The 16,904-nt window shown below is 40.3% G+C and overlaps 1 protein-coding gene and 2 pseudogenes across 16 annotated transcripts in view; all 3 read left to right on the top strand.

The window, feature by feature from the left end:
* The window catches only part of GPBP1L1 (GC-rich promoter binding protein 1 like 1), a 60,807-nt gene that overhangs the window by 25,585 nt on the left and 18,318 nt on the right, over positions 1-16,904 (top strand). For all 15 annotated transcript variants that reach the window (XM_047427077.1, XM_024448810.2, XM_047427059.1 and 12 more), the window contains 4 exons: positions 1,301-2,342; positions 3,384-3,498; positions 7,207-7,336; positions 7,697-7,983. In XM_047427077.1, the coding sequence (XP_047283033.1) occupies positions 3,439-3,498; positions 7,207-7,336; positions 7,697-7,983 (477 nt within the window). In that variant the 5' untranslated portion in view covers positions 1,301-2,342; positions 3,384-3,438. The remainder of the gene's footprint in view (positions 1-1,300; positions 2,343-3,383; positions 3,499-7,206; positions 7,337-7,696; positions 7,984-16,904) is intronic.
* Positions 10,676-11,548, top strand: RPL7AP16 (ribosomal protein L7a pseudogene 16; annotated as a pseudogene).
* Positions 15,841-16,754, top strand: RPS15AP10 (ribosomal protein S15a pseudogene 10; annotated as a pseudogene). The gene has a single exon (NR_026768.1). The product of NR_026768.1 is annotated as a ribosomal protein S15a pseudogene 10 (transcript).

Here is a 16,904-nt window from a genome sequence, read left to right as displayed (position 1 = left end):
CTTCCAAACTAAGATTTACCAGTATAGACCAGAATTGCCCATAGATGCAAAAATTCTTTTCTATCAAAAAATTATTTCCACAGCCAGGCACAGTGGCTGACACCTGTAATCTCAGCACTTTGAGAGGCCAAAGCAGGAGGATTGCTTGAACCTAGGAGTTCAAGACCAGCCTGGGCAACACAGTGAGATCCTGTGTCTACAAAAAAATGTTTTTTAATTAGATGGGCATGATGGTGCATATCTGTAGTCCCATGGTTTTTGTTACTCGGGAAGCTGAGGTCTCTGAGAGGATTGCTTAAGCCTGGGAGTTCAAGGATGCAGCGAGCTACGATCAAGTCACTGCACTCCAGCCTAGGCAATAGGGTGAGACCCTGTTTCTAATTTGTATCCCCTGAAAGAATGTTGAGAAATTACCGAAGAAATTTTTGTTTCACTCCGTGCCTAACAAGTTAGATTATAAAAGTTTTAAATCTCTGAATTGAGAGCCAGGTATCTAAAAATATATACCATATAAATATATAAAATATACTGTGACAGATATCTCAAGGATCCTAGCTGTGGCTAGTACTAAACAAATAGGTAGTTGGTGATATACCAGCAAGCTATATGGTTCTTTGACCACTCATGGCAACCTGTCCCATTTATGAGAGAAAAATCTATATCTGAAAGACCTATTATTTTGCATTTCTGAATACCTTAGATAGCTGATTGGAAAATTTGGCCTCTCAAAGTGTTGAGATTACATGTGCTTTTATATAAAAAAGCAAACTCCAGGCCAGGCATGGTGGGTCACTCACGTAATCCCAGCACTTTGGGAGGCCAAGGTGGGCGGATCACAAAGTCGAGTTCGAGACCAGCCTGGACAACATAGTGAAACCCCATGTCTACTAAAGATACAAAAAATTAGCTGGGCATGGTAGTGCACACCTGTAATCCCAGCTACTCAGGAGGCTGAGGCAGGAGAATCGCTTGAACCCGGGAGGTGGAGGTTGCAGTGAGCTGAGATGGCGACATTGCACTCCAGCTTGGGCAACAAGAGCGAAACTCCATCTCCAAAAAAAAAAAAAAGAGCAAACTCTGTTTAGATGACTTTTCTCAAATCCTTAAAAAAGATTTATATCCAAGTCATCTTGTTGGTATAGGTGGTGACATACATCTGTAGTATCTAAATTGGACTTAAGAGTTTTGACTCTCAGGACCTTGATTTCATTATTTAACTGTGTCTCATTTTAGCAGATATATGTATATATGATAGTGATTTTGCCTTCTGTGATTTTATGTTTTGTTTTTTCATTTACAGAGTGATAGATTCGTGTGGCCTTTCAAATGATTGTGAAGTGGTGGAAATGGATCCAAAATAATAAGTGACTTCTCTACCAAAGCATAGAAGATTCTTCATATCTCCTTCCAGTGGCTCAATTTAGATTTTGGGAAGGAGCAGAACAAGTGAAACACAGAAAACTGAAGAGAAGAAATCCTCATTTTGGACCTATATTTCTCCTTGACTATTTCTTAATATCCATCCTACCCATCGTTCTAATGTTTTAACTTTGCTCTGAATTTATAAATAGTAAAGGCCAAAGACATAGAATATACATTTAGTAGCTTTATACCAAGAAATTTGCCTTGAAAGCTGCTGTTCGTGGAGGGAAAAGTGTAGCAAATTCCTGTCTATTTTTATTTTTTATTTTTTTTTAACAAAGACAAGATTTATGTCCCTAGATTTTGAAGGTTAAGGCAAATATAAATACATATCTGCACACTATTTTTTAGCAGTTGCATGAGTAAGAGTAATGAGATTTGTATTTTAAGGACTTTGTCATGTGGATGTTTTGGAGTTGACTGCTCAGATCTTTTATAGGGCTTTAATATTTTTGATCTATTACCTTGATGACATTATTTGTCCACACTTGAGCCCATCTGTCTTTCTAGCTATGACCTTGTTATGAACAGTATTTGCACTCGGTGCAAATATCCATGTCTTACCTAATTAAGCAACATCATAGTGCCATAACTCAAGGAAGTTGAATGAGGTGAACATAGATACAGCTCTTTCCCCTTCCCCCCCTTTTTAAATGTAACAAATACTTTTTATGTTCCCCTTCCCCCCTTCCCCTTTTCCCCTTTCCCCTTTTGGAAACGTGTCAGGAACCAAATAGTTTAAGATGAGCAGTTGAGGGGACTGAGAGAGTGATCGACACAGAACCTGGCTTCTTCGTGCTTCATCATAAGTCGTGCTGCCGGCCAGGTTACTTAAGCACCCTTTTAACAAGGAAACCTTGTGGGAGATCCAGCTGGCCGACTCGAGTTCAGAAACAGGACCACAGAGGTTACACTCTGGGGTAAATATTCTCCATATGTCTAACTTGGAAAGAAGACTCTATGTATATGCATCATGAAAAATACCGACTGCTTTCTGATGTAATTAATTTTGGAGAATATCAGTGGGGTGGTTTGAAGACACCAACAGATCTCAGGAAAACTGATGCTAGTTGGTATTTGAAGAAATTAATGTGAACTAAATATAAAAGCTCTTGAGAGGTTGTATCGTCCTTCTCTAGGAAGATCTTTTTTTCCCCCATCTTGAGGCAGGGTCTCACTCTGTCACCCAGGCTGGAGTGCAGTGGTGCAATCTCAGCTCACTGCAGCCTCAACCTTCCCAGCTCAGGTGATTCTCCCACCTTAGCCTCCAGAGTAGCTGGGACCACAGACGTGTGCCACCACACCTGGCTCCTTTATTATTATTTTTGTACAGATGAGGTTTTGCCATGTTGCCCAGACTGGTCTCGAACTGCTGGGCTCAAGCGATCCACCTCGGCCTCCCAAGGTGCTGGGATTACAGGTGTGAGCCACCGTGCCCAGCCAAGAAGATCTTTTCTACTGCTTTTGCTAGAAGTTACCTGAGTACTTGAAGCAGATTAATCTCTTTTCATAAGTGTCTGTGGTTTTAAATAGATGTTTAATTCTTCATGTTCTTTGATGTAACAATCAAGAATTCATTAGCTTCCTTCATAAAACCTTCCAGATTCACTGGGCGCAGTGACTCACACCTGTAATCCCAACACTTTGCGAGGCTGAAGCAGGATGATCTTTTGAGGCCAGGAGTTCAAGATCAGCCTGGGCAACATAGCAAGACCCTTCCTCTCCAAAAAATAAATCTTCCAGGCTCATGTTACAGTTTTCTTTTGTTTAGAACTTTTGTTTTAACAAAAATTGCTTTTATTTAGAACTTCTCTGAGTTATAAGGCTTGGTAAGTAATCTGTAGACAGGCTCAGAGGGCAGGTCTTTCTGTAAAGAGGAATCTTAGAATAATTACAGATTCCTTTACACATTGGTATCAGATTCTTGTAAACATAAGTGATTTGAATTGTTTTGTTTTCAGATCCTGGCCATGAGGTTGGATGCCTCACCTTACTGAAAGGAGACACTGGACCTAAATGGCGCAGCATGATTTTGTTCCTGCTTGGCTAAATTTCTCAACACCACAGTCAGCTAAGGTACTGTTCTCCATTCCTGTAGTAACTTCTCAAATATGAGAGGGTTTGGGGGTGGTTTTGGTTGTTTTTTGGTTTCATTTTGTTTTGAGACAGGGTCTCCCTCTGTCACCCAGGATGAAGTGCGGTAGTGTGATCACAGCTTACTGCAGCTTTGGCCTCCTGGGCTCAGGCAGTCCTCCTGACTCAGCTCCCAGAGTAGCTGGGCCTACAGGCTGTGTACCACCACGCCCTGCTAATTTTTGTTTTTGTTGTTGTTGTTTTATAGAGATGGAATTTCACCATGTTGCCCAGGCTGGTTTTCAACTCCTAAGCTCAAGTGATCCGCCTACCTGGACTTCCCAAAGTGCTGGGATTACAGGCGTGAGCCACTGCACTCAGCCCAGTCTTGATGTTTTTTAATATATTCAACCTCGTGTGAGGATTTCAAAAACATTTTCATAGACTTAATAGCTTTCTGTTAGAAGGATGTAAGTAATTAGGCAGTCCACATGAATGTCTACCTTATTACTGCCAAGTATCTCACTTTTTTATGTTTCTTTTTTTCTTTTTTTAAGTATCTCACTTTTTTCATTATATCCTAAGGCTTTTCTCATTACATGACACAGTTAAGTGTTGTATTAGCTGCAGCACACTTTGGAGATTAAACGTACTTGCTAACCTATTGTGGAGGTCAAAGGGGCAGAAGTAAAAGGGGAATGGCACTTGGGTAAACAGACCTTTGGAGTGAACACACATTTGTTTATGGCGATAGATGAAGAGGAGGAAAAGGTAGAGGCAGTGATTGTTCAACTACTACATGGATCTCAGATTAAATCCTAGAAACTGTTTTAGAGGCATTAACCTACTTAATAGTTTCAGGGGGGATGTGTGTTGTATTAAGGGTAAACACAAATGGAATTACCAGTTTATATAGATTAAAGCAGACCTAGTCACAGTACACAAAAGAATCAGCCTGAGTTATTGATAAAACGTTTGGGAAGCTAGTAAACTTAAAAGTGCTTCCCATTTTGCCAGCGAATAGAGGAAGGATGAAATTGGTAGGCATTCCCAAAAATAAAGGCCTACCTTTCCTATTTTAAAATGTGGACTTTTGGGAAGGTGCTTCTGGTCTCATCTAGACCCATGATCTTTTGCTCTAAACTTCATTTTGTTTCAATTTTATTTTACTCATTTATTTTTGAGACAGGGTCTCTGTCACCGAGGCTGGAGTACAGTGGCATGGTCATAATTCATTACAGCCTTGAACTCCCGGGCTCAAGCAATCCTCTCGCCCTAGTCTCTAGAGTAGCTGGTACTACAGGTGAGCACCACCATGCCCAGCTAACTTTTTTGGGTTTTTTGTAGAGATAGGGTCTCACCATGTTGCCCAAGGTGGTCTAGAACTGGCCTCAAACGATCCTGTCACCTCAGCCTCCAAAAGTGCTGAGATTACAGGCATGAGCCACTGTACCAGGCTAAACTTCATTTGGGGATTTTTGTTTGTTTTTTTATTGAGACGGGGTCTTACTCTGTTGCCCAGGCTGGAGTGCAGTGGTGCGATCATGGCTTACTGCAGCCTTGACTTCCCTGGCTCAGGCGATCCTCCTACCTCATCCTCCCAGGTAGCTGGGATTACAGGCGCACAGTACCACTCCCAGCTAATTTTTTGTAGTTTTCTGTAGAAGACAGGGTTTTGCCATGTTACCCGGCTGGTCTTGAAATCCTGGGCTCAAGCGATGTACCTGCCTCAGTCTCCCAAAGTGCTGGGATTACAGCAATGAACCACCACACCCGGCTCTAAACATCATTTCAAATTGTCTTAACAAAATTTGCAGGACCTCATAATTGGCCTAATCTGACCCAAAGCTTGGAGCTAGTGGGCTACCTGAAAAGTATATAGATCTATCAGAGAAGAATAATTGTTTTAGCACCGTGAACTTAAGTAAAAAGAATTAGAAGACATTCTTTCATTTTCGAAACTATAATAAGCAAAGCCCTGTGGTTTTGGCATAATGATAGACATAAAAGGAATAGAATAGAGAGTTCAAAAATAGGCCTGTAGAGGCTGGGCTCAGTGGCTCATGCCTGTAATCCCAGCACTTTGAGAGGCTGAGGCAGAAGGATTGCTTGAAAGCCAGGAGTTTGAGACCAGCTTGGGCAGCAAAGTGAGACCTTGTCTCTACAAGAAAAATTTAAAAAAAAAACAACAACAAAAACTAGGCAGGTGTGGTGGTGAATACCTGTCATCTCAGCTACTTGGGAGGCTAAGGCAGGAGGATTGCTTGAGCCAAGGAGTTTGAGGCTACAGTGAGCTGTGATCGGGCTACTGTACTCCAGCCTGGGTGACTGAGACCCTGGCTCTTAAAAAAAAAAAAAAAAGGCTTATGTATGTATTTTGTTGATTTTTGACTAAAGTACAAAGGTAATTCAATGGGGAAGTGATAGTGTTGTGTTTTTGAGCTAGAAGAACTAGCTTCTATCTACATGGGGGCGGAGTAAAGAACCTCAGCCTTTGCTTCATACACAAAAAGATTAACCTGAAATGGAACATAAGTTAAAAAGCTAAAACCATAAAACTTTTAAGAGAAAACAGGAGAAAATCTTTTTACCCACTCGAATGGGTAAAATATTGGCAAGGATGTTGATAGTAAGAAAAATAAATGTAAACATGCCCCGATTTACGGTTTTCCTTGTCAAACATACCCATATTTTCATGGCTTTGTGGACTTTGGTCTCTATCATTTAAGAATGTCATAGAATAAAATTCTTTGAAATAGGAAGGGATATTAGAGTTCATCTATAATAATGTTTCTCAAACTGCTTCCTTCCAGTTTTGTTACCTCAAAGACTTATTTTTTCTCTCTGACCTCTTTCATTATGTGTAAATGAGTAAAATGGGTATGATGCCAAAAGTTTAGTATTGTTACAGGTATTATATCTGGAAATAAATGTTTTATAAAACTGTAAAAACTCTAGTAGTTGGGAGCTGTGGCTTATACCTGTAATCCCAGAGCTTTGAGAGGCCAAGGCAGGAGGATTGCTTGAGGCCAGGACTGAGAGATCAGCCTGGGCAACATAGTGAGACCCCCATCTCTACAAAAAATTTAGAAAATTAGCCAGTCTTAGTGGCATGGGCCAATAGTTCTAGCTACTCCATAGGCCGAGGCAGGAGGATCCTTTAAGCTCAAGGGTAAGCAGCTGTAGTGAGCTTTGATTGTGCCACTGCACTCCAGCCTGGGCGACCGTGAGACTTCATCTCTTTTTTTTTTTTAAAAGTTCTGTAATTACTACTGACCTCCCAAGGTGATATTTCAACCGTTGCCTTCACCCTTATTCCAGAAATACTAAAACTTTAGAATTATTTTTGAGGCAATCATCTTGATTTTCCTCTCCTACAAGGTAAATATTTTTAAGTGTAAAGTTTTGGAGCTTATATTTATGAATATTTGCAAGGCTTTTTTCCCCTCCGCCTCCTTTCATGCAAACAATTGAAGTGGCTAGCTTTTCTCCTCTCCTGGAATAAAGGAAGTGAATTAGCAATTGAATATATAACCTAGGACTTCTCTAAATTAGGCACCTGTGGGTACCCTTAGGGTCCATATGCTTACAATATGAGTTTCTATCACCATTATTACTTGTTTTTTGAAGGCCTGATGCAAAGCCTATTAAGATATTGAAAAGGACTAATAGCTATTTATCCATTTGCCTCTCCATACTTCATCATCTTAGTCACCTACTGCCACCTTCGAAAAACACGGAGAGCACCTACCCAGAGGAGAAGGTAGATTTGGAGTAAGCCGCCGTCGACATAATTCCTCTGATGGTTTTTTTAACAATGGTCCCCTACGAACTGCAGGAGGTGAGCCATGTCCAACTTTCATGACTATATTTAAGCTACTCATTTAGGACAAGCCCAGGCTGTGGGTACATGTCTGTAATCTTGAAATAGGATCTTTTCTGAACATAGTTTTCATTTAGATTCTCTAGTAGTCATTACGCAACTACATTGGCTTTCTAGGTCTAACTATGATTATGATTCTCATGAATCATCTGTTCAGTTGAACTGATTTCAGAAATTACCTCACAAAGAAAAGATACATTTTTTTATTTTTTTTGTGTGGACTTTTTATTAACGAGGTCTCCTGAAGGCCTTTGGCCAATACCGTAAACCAAATCAGGAAGCAAACAATCTAATTAGTCCTTTTCTTTACTATTCTAGATTCTTGGCACCAGCCCTCCCTGTTCCGCCATGATTCTGTGGACTCTGGTGTCTCTAAGGGAGCATATGCTGGAATCACAGGGAACCCATCTGGTTGGCATAGCTCTTCCCGAGGTCATGATGGCATGAGCCAACGTAGTGGAGGTGGCACAGGGAACCATCGCCATTGGAATGGCAGCTTCCACTCCCGGAAAGGGTGTGCTTTTCAGGAAAAGCCACCTATGGAGATTAGGGAAGAAAAGAAAGAAGACAAGGTGGAAAAGTTGCAGTTTGAAGAGGAGGACTTTGTAAGTATGAATCTTTAGATGTGTGGTTAGAAGCCAACAAATAATGTCTGAAATATGAGACCCTGTTAGTAATGAGAACATTTCAGAAATTACAGAAAAAGGAATTTGTAAGTTGAGGTTTTTATTGTTTTAGAGGAAAGAAGTTAAGTTGATAATATTTGAAAATGGTGACCAAAACTCCTATGTAACTTGTAGCAAATTTTTCATCTTTGTGTCTTTGGAATTTAGAAAAATATTTAATTTCTCTTAAGTCTTATAAAGTTTACTCAAATATAATTATGTTAAAATGTACTCTTGCATGTTAAATTGTCTTTTTTCCAACTATGATAAAACATTTTTTCTCTTGATTTTGTTCTCTATCACATAAAATTACTGTGACATGAACATGTAATTGGGAGTATTTCAGCTGTTGCCTATGCGTTCAGTAACACTTGATGTTATTGTGTGTTAAATTACATGCCTTTTGGCCTCTTAAATCAAAGGTAGCATTTTCAGAGTATCTTTAAAATGTTTTAAATATATTTTATTTAAGAAAAGATTATCAGGCTGGGCTCGGTGGCTCATGCTTGTAATCTGAGCACTTTGGGAAGCCGAGGCGGGTGGATCACCTGAGGGCAGGAGTTCAAGATCAGCCTGACCAACATGGTGAAACCCCATATCTACTAAAAACACAAAAATTAGCTGGGCTTGGTGGCAAGTGCCTATAATTCCAGCTACTCAGGAGGCTGAGGCAGGAGAATCACGTGAACCCAGGTGGCAGAGGTTGCAGTGGGCTGAGATTGCGCCATTACACTCCAGTCTGGGCAATAGAGTGAGACTCTGTCTCAAAAAAAAAAAAAAGAAAAAAAAGATTATCATTTTAACAAATCAGTATCTTTAAGTTGGCCAGGCATAGTGGCTCATGCCTGTAATCCCAGCACTTTCAGAGACCAAGGCAGGAGGATTGCTTGATGCCAGGAGTTTGAGACCAGCCTGGGCAGCACAGCAAGATCCTTGTCTCTATAAAAAATTTTTGAAAAATTAGCTGGGCATGATGGCACATGTCTGCGGTCCCAGCCACTAGGGAGACTGAGGCAGGAGGATTACTTGAGCCCAGGAGTTTGAGGCTGCAGTGAGCTATGATTGCCCCACTGCATTCATGCCACCACGCCCAGCTAATTTTTTTGTTTCTTATACAGACTAGCTATCACTATGTTGCCCAGGCCAGTCTCAAATGCCTGACCTCAAGTGATCTTCCCACCTCGGCCTCCCAAAGTGCTAGGATTACAGACAGCCACCACACCCAGCCTCTAGCTGTTTTTAAGTAGCACATCGATCAGTCGCTTCTGTTATAGCCATTTCATCAGTTAGTAGAGTCACCTAAAGAGGAGTGAAATTTAGGCATTAGCTCCTCTACCCTCAAGTCTAGGAAGTGACCTGGGGTCCTTGCTGTAAATTATATATTAATGTGAATTCCTATTCCCAGGTGAGTGTTCTTCAAAACTTTATCCTCAGGAAGGTCTATACTGCCCTTACATATTGAATATTTGTCCAGAATGTTCTAGATAACAAATAGTCCAGAAATTACTACAATTTCAAATGTAATCTTTATTATTTATACAGCAAACTTGTATTACAAGCAAATCCAAGAAAGACCAGTGGGAATGATTTGAAAACAATGTATGTTGCTCATTACACTTAAGGAACTTGATGAAATTCATATCAAACTAGCAATGAAAGCATTAGCAACAGAGCTGGTGGACATGGGTGGCGTGCACCTATAGCCCCAGCTACTTGGGAGGCGGAGGTGGAAGCAAGACTCTATCTCTTAAAAAAAAAAAAATGCAGCAATCACAGTATATTCTTATTAAAAAACAACTTTCCTTTAATACTTTTATTCTATGATTAAATAAACCCATAATGATTTTAACATAATTTGTATCTGAAATGAAATATTTAGAGTATATCTAATATTATAACCATAGCCAACTGTGCATATAGAAGACTAATTTATTTGAATCCCCAATAGTTTTGATTTCTTACGTACTTCATTAAGAAAAAGAGAAGATTGTAGCAAACAAGAAATAGTGTGGAGTAAAGTAGAAGTAATTGTACCTTTTAAACTGGGTAGTATGCTACTGATTAGCATAGTTTGATTAGAAACTTCATTATCAGTCCTGTGACATTCCCAGTGGGAATGATACAAACATTCTATTTTATCAATTTGTGCATTTTTTTACCTTCATATGAATAATTCATACTGTAATTCTCTTATTTATGTAAAATTGTTTGAAGTTTACATGTGTTGAATCATGAGGCTCTAGCTTAGTGGTTCTCAACTAGGGGCAAGTTTGCCCGCTGGGGGATATTTGGCATTATATGGAGACATCTTTGTTGTCACAACTGGGGTTAGTGTTAATATCACCTAACATGTAGAGATCAGGGATGTTGCTAAACACTTAAAACGCACTGGACAGCCTCATAACAGAATTAACCAGGCTAAAATGTTAGTAGTGTCATGGCTGACAAACCTTGCTCTAGATCTTTTTTACTACTCTATAGCAAATATTATATTGTGTGAATACACTTGATTTATTTATCCATTTTTCTGTTAATGGAAATTCAGTTTGTAAAAGACCTTGTTTTGGAGACTAAACTTAAAGGATTGGAACTGAGGTATTGTTAATTAGAGAAGGAAGAGTCAAAAATAAGATTTCTTCTCCTCCCGCCACCCAAGATGCCGAAAGGAAAGAAGGGCAAGGGGAAGAAGTTGGCTCTGGCCCCTGCTGTCGTCAAGAAGCAGAGCCAAGAAAGTGGTGAATCCGCTATTTAAGAAAAGGCCTAAGAATTTTGGCATTGGACAGGACACCCAGCCCAAAAGAGACCTCACCTGCTTTGTGAAATGGCCCTGCTATATCAGGTTGCAGCAGCAGAGAGCCATCCTCTATATGCAGCTGAAAATGCCTCCTGCGATTAACCAGTTCATCCAGGCCTTGCGCTGCCAAACAGCTACTCAGCTACTTAAGCTGGCCCACAAGTACAGATCAGAGGCAAAGCAAGAGAAAGAAGCAGAGGCTATTGGCCCAGGCTGAGAAGAAAGCTGCCAGCAAAGGGGATGTCCCCAGTAAGAGACCACCTGTCTTTCAAGCAGGAGTCAGCACTTCACCACCTTGGTGGAGAACACGAAGACTCAGCTAGTGGTGATTGCATATGACATGGATCCCATCAAGCTGGTTGTCTTCCTACCTGCCCTGTGTCGTAAAATGGGGGTCCCTTACTGCATTATCAAGGGGAAGTCAAGAGTGGGATGTCTACTCCACAGAAAGACCTGCACCACTGGTTGCCTTCACACAGGTTAACTTGGAAGACAAAGGAGGTTTGTCTAAGCTGGTGGAAGCTATCAGGATCAATTACAATGACAGATACGATGAGATCTGCCATCACTGGGGAGGCAATGTCCTGGGTCCCAAGTCTGTGACTCGCATTGCCAAGCTCAAAAAGGCAAAGGCTAAAGAACTTGCCACCAATTGGATTAAATGTACACTGTTGAGCTTTCTTTACATAAAAAGGTAATGCAAATTTTCCTAAAGATTTCTATCCAAAGTGACTTGATGAATAATATGTAATTAACTTGAAGAGAGAAAGCAGAAGGAGCAGAATTGGTTGGAGAAAACAAATTCTTGATGCCAAAGAGATGGGTTAGGTCTAGAGAAGTGCACTTGAAAATAGAGATAATAGTTGAGGTTTGTGGATAAATAAAATCGCTCAAGGAGAGTAATACATTGGAAAGAAGGGAGGTGTAGAGCAGAACCTGTGGATTAGCAGTAAGGGAGACTGAGAAGTGGTTAGCTGAAGAAGGAACAAGTATACCAAGAAAAAGTAGGTAGATAAAAATCACAAATTGAAGATGTTTTGGGACCTGATTGTTTGCAGTAGATTTTCTGTATTATTTTTTTCTATACCATATGTATGTATAATTAGAAAATTATTTTAAAATCGTATTGGTTTCGTGTAATTAACAGTCCTATATTGTTACCTGGGCAAGTTAAATAGTCCTAATTGTCCCTGAGTTGTTAGAGAATGTTTGTGAACCACTCAGCACAGACCTTGACAGATAGGTTTTTGTTTTTTGCTTTTTTGAAGTACATGATATAGACAGGAACACAGATTTTTAAATGGTAGCTGTTACTAAGTGTGGGAGAGAGCTTTGACTCTGGCAGTTTGGGATGGCCTTTCAAAATTGACAAGTGTGGTTGTAAGGGTTAGAGAGTAAGTTGGTGATGAATGATACACTACTCTTTGGAGAATAAAGAGCCAGGTGTGAGGGTAGAGTGTTCTAGGATTAGGAGACTTGGATGTGTTTGAAACCTGAGGAGTAAGAAATTGGTGGAGAGAAGGGACTCTGAGAGGATGCCAGCAGTATTGGCTACAGCTTTTTCATCTTCCCCAATTATCCAGTAAAAGCAGAGCTCCCTTTAATATTGGGAGCAATATTAATATGTTTACTCTTATCACTTGTATTTATCATTGTATTAGAGGTCCTAACAAGTACAATAAGGCAAGAAAAAGAAATGTATACAGTTTAACAAGAGGAAATAAAACTTTGTGTTTGCAGGTGAAATGAAAATCCTAAGGACTCTGTAGAAAAACTATATATGAAATTCCAGAACAGCCAAATAATCTATGATGGGAAAGAAAATCAGAATGGTTTTATGGTTGCCTGTGCACAGTGGGGATTAACTGGGAAAGGGTATGAAGGGAACTTTCTGGTTGATGGAAGTGTTAATAATCTTCAAAGAAGTTAGGGAGGTATTAGCATTTTAAAAACTCATAGAATTGAGTATATTTTATATGTGTACATTTTACTGTATGAAAATTTTAGTATTAAAAAATATTAAAATTACCAGTAGTGAAACAGATTTAAACCTCCTGATATGATGGCACTGAGAAATATGCACCATCACCTCTGTAACATTCCTTCCAGAAATGCATTGCCTGGATCTAATCATAGGAGACCTCAGACAAGCCCAAATTGAGGATTCTACAAAAGAATTGCAAAATAACTGGCCTGTAGTCTTCAAAAATGTTAAGGCCATGAAAAAAAAAAAAGCTCCAGATTAAAGAACTAGAGATATGACAACTAAAAACAACATGTAAACCTAGATTAAATAACTACTGGGTGAGGCAAAACCATTTTGCAAAAATTTTCTTTTGCTAAAACATCAGTGGGACAATTTGAATAAGTGTTGTAGATTAGATAATAGTATGTATAAGTGTTAATAATTACTCTGATTATGTAAAAGATATCCTTTTAAGGAAATACATATTTAAGGGTAAGTGGCATCAAGTCCTGCAACTTGCACATGGTTCAGGAGAAAGAATGGGGAAGCAAATGTGAAATATTAATACAGGTTGAGCATCTGCAGTCTAAAACTTTTTGAGTGTGGATGTCATGCCACAAGTAGAAAATTCCATACCTGATCTCATGCAGCAGGTCGCAGTGAAAACTTTTGTTTCCTGCACAAAATTATTTGAGACAGAGATTCACTCTTGTGTCTCAGGCTGGAGTGCAATGGCGCGATCTTGGCTCACTGCAACCTGCGCCTCGTGGGTTCAAGCCATTCTCCTGCCTCAGCCTCCCAAGTAGCTGGGATTACAGGCATGCGCACCCCTACGCCCAGCTAATTTTTGTATTTTTAGTAGAGGCGGGATTTCGCCATGTTGGTCAGGCTGGTCTCAAACTCCTGACCTCAAGTGATCCGCCTGCCTCAGCCTCCCAAAGTGCTGGGATTACAGGCGTGAGCCACTGTGCTCAGCCCTGAAATTATTTTAAAGTAAAGTTAAAAATAAGACAAAGCAAGTAGAGTTGAGGAACCAACAAAATCTACAGATGCCATCTACGTCAAAGCAAAATGATATTTCCCCACATACCCGTAAAGGGATAGGGACAAACCACCAAAATCTATATAAGAGGCTTGGTTAATACTAGCATTTGTGCAGGGGGAACTGAAGGGAAGCAGCAGAGCACCTGACAGCATAAAGAATGCTAACAGAGCCAACCGTTTTTCTGGAAAGCTCGTAGGGCATATTTGAGAAGAGCAGCAGTTAATCGGGAGTAGTTTTCCGTAATGGAATAACAAGTAAATACAGGGGCTCTGGGATAAGGTATGAAGGATCTGACTGGACCAGTCAAGAGTTCAAACCACACAGTAGTTTGAATAGAGAAAGTTAATATAAGGAATTTAACTATAGCAAGATTGGAGTAATGAAGGATTGACTAGTACAAAGTAAAAAGATCTTTAAAGAAAATAGAAATAGCACGTAGTCACAGTTCAGTGGCTCACGCCTGTGATTGCAGCACTTTGGGAGGTCGAGGCAGGGCGATTGCTTGAGTCCAGGAGTTTGAGACCAGCCTGGGCAACGTGGTGAAACTTTTGTCTCTACAAAAAATTTAAAAATTAGCTGGACGTGGTGGGTACCTGGTAGTCCCAGCTACTCAGGGGGCTGAGGTGGGAGGATTGCTTGAGTCTGGCAGGTCGTAGCTGCAGTGAGCCCAGATGGCACCACTTCATTCCACCCTGGGTAACAGAGTGAGACCCTGTCTCAAAAAAAAAGAAAAAAACATACACACAGACATATATGCATACATACAAGGAGCAGCCACTACCCTTAGGGCTAAGACAGTGTGTCCAAGAATGAGTCCCCCATTTCCCTACCACCACCCCAGGGCTGAGATTCATACCTGGTTAGAAAGGGCTCAGTTGTGGCTCACTGAATGGCAGAGTAATTGCTGATGTGCTTCTCTGGGGAAGCGTGCTGAAAGGCTTTTCATGAGAGGTGTCACTCTGCTACAAAACTACTCAGATGAGGTGCTGAGGGAAGCTGCTGGTCTCTGAGCTCACTTATATGTCAGAACCTGGCTTTGAGGAACTGGGTGCTGTGGGAGCCTGCTGAAAAACACACAGGAACAGGAAGTAAAAATCTCTCCATTGTTCTCCGCTGGCAGAAGTTAACATGCCAGCTGTCAAAGGAAAAGTTTTAAAGTGTCCAGGCACATTTTTGCTCAACAGGCAGAAGGGATGACTTTGTGACTAAGAAGCGGTAACCAGCACAGGGTTCTATCGTTGTTCATGCTAGCTGGCCACTATACCCTTCCAGAACAAAGCCCGTCACTGAGGACAAACTGTTGGAAATATAATCCAGATTGAGCTGCAGAGAGACAAGTTAGTAGAGACGAAAGGAAAGGTTCAGATAAAAGCGGTAGGGAGAAGATAACCAGGACATTAAAGAACGTAAACCCGGGAGGCAGAGGTTGCAGTGAGCCAAGATCGCACCATTGCACTCCGGCCTGGGCAACAAGAGTATGAAACTTGGTCTCAGAAAAAAAAAAAAAAAAATCCTAAGAAGTTGGTTTAAAAAAAAAAATCATCTGGGAAAACTCAAAATAAGGGGCTAGAACTCTTGAAAAGAAGTAATAATAAAAAATTTCAGAAAAATACTGAAGAATAAAGAGAATAAATAATATTTTTCAAGAATTAGACAGCGAAGGAAAATTTTTTAAATGAAGGAGAAATACATAGGTAAAAAATTAAAACTGGGAAAAAAAAGTTTGGCAGAAAAGATCTAATATAGATATATAATAGGATCTTCCCACCCCGCCCCCAGAAAGAAAACCAAAATAAAGGAATAGCTTAAATACTGACAAGTGGCCGGGTACGGTGGCTCACACCTGTAATCCCAGCAGTTTGGGAGGCCGAGGGGGGCAGATCACGAGGTCAGGAGATCGAGACCATCCTGACTAACATGTTGAAACCCTGTCTCTACTAAAAATACAAAAAATTAGCCAGGCATGGTGGCGGGCGCCTGTAGTCCTAGCTACTCGGGAGGCTGTGAGGCAGGAGAATGGCGTGAACCCGGGAGGTGGAGCTTGCAGTGAGCTGAGATCGCGCCACTGCACTCCAGCCTGGGGACAGAGTGAGACTCCGTCTCAAAAAAAAAAAAAATACTGAAAAGTATAATTCAGGAACATTTTTCTGAAATACATTTAGATTTGAATCTACAAATTGAAAGGATAGCCAGGATGACTAAGACATACTCTTACAAAATACTAGACTTGAACAAAAAAAGAAAGATATCCTTTGGCCATTCAGGCATAAAGACTGAGTTGTTAAGAGAAAGAAAACCAGATAGACTGTGACAGCAAAGCTTTATAACAAGTAAATGGAGTAACAATTACAATAAAGAAAATGTGAGCCAAAGATTTTGTGCTTTGTCAAGCTAATGTTCAGTTATAAAGATCACAGACAAACATCAATGTGTAAGTACTTGGAATATTGCTCTTTCCGGCATTGTTTCGCGCTGCCACAATGGTGTGTGTGAACATCCTACCTGTTGCTCTCAAGAGTATCACCAATGCCGAAAAGAGAGGGAAACGCCGGTTCTTACTAGGCCATGCTCCAAAGTCATTGTCCAACTTCTAGCTGTGATGATGAAGCATCGTTACATTGGCAAATTTGAAATCATTGATGATAACAGAGCTGGGAAAATTGTGAACCTCACAGGCAGGCTAAACAAGTGTAGAGCCCCAGCTTTGATTTGCAACTCAAAGATCTAGAAAAACGGCAGAACAATCTGCTTCTATCCCAACCATTTGACTTCGTCATATTGACAGCCTTAGCTGGTATCATGGACCATGAAGAAGCAAGACGAAAACACACAGGAGGGAAAATCCTTGGATTTTGTTTCTAGGGATGCAATACATATTTACAAATAAAATGCCTCAAAAAAAAAAAAAACAAAAAACTTCGGAATATCGTTCCCAAGACTTTTCCTGAGAACTACTGAAGAACAAGCTTCTGACAAACTAACCAGAAAGATTACAAAAGGAATGGTGGTAAATACTAAATGTATGGTTAATTGTAGAGCTAAGAAGAAATGAGGGT

This window comes from Homo sapiens, chromosome 1 (genome assembly GCF_000001405.40).
Source record: "Homo sapiens chromosome 1, GRCh38.p14 Primary Assembly".
Lineage (NCBI taxonomy): Eukaryota > Metazoa > Chordata > Mammalia > Primates > Hominidae > Homo > Homo sapiens.
The sequence above is the reverse complement of the archived record's forward strand: the minus strand, read 5'-3'. Positions and strand labels throughout refer to the sequence as shown.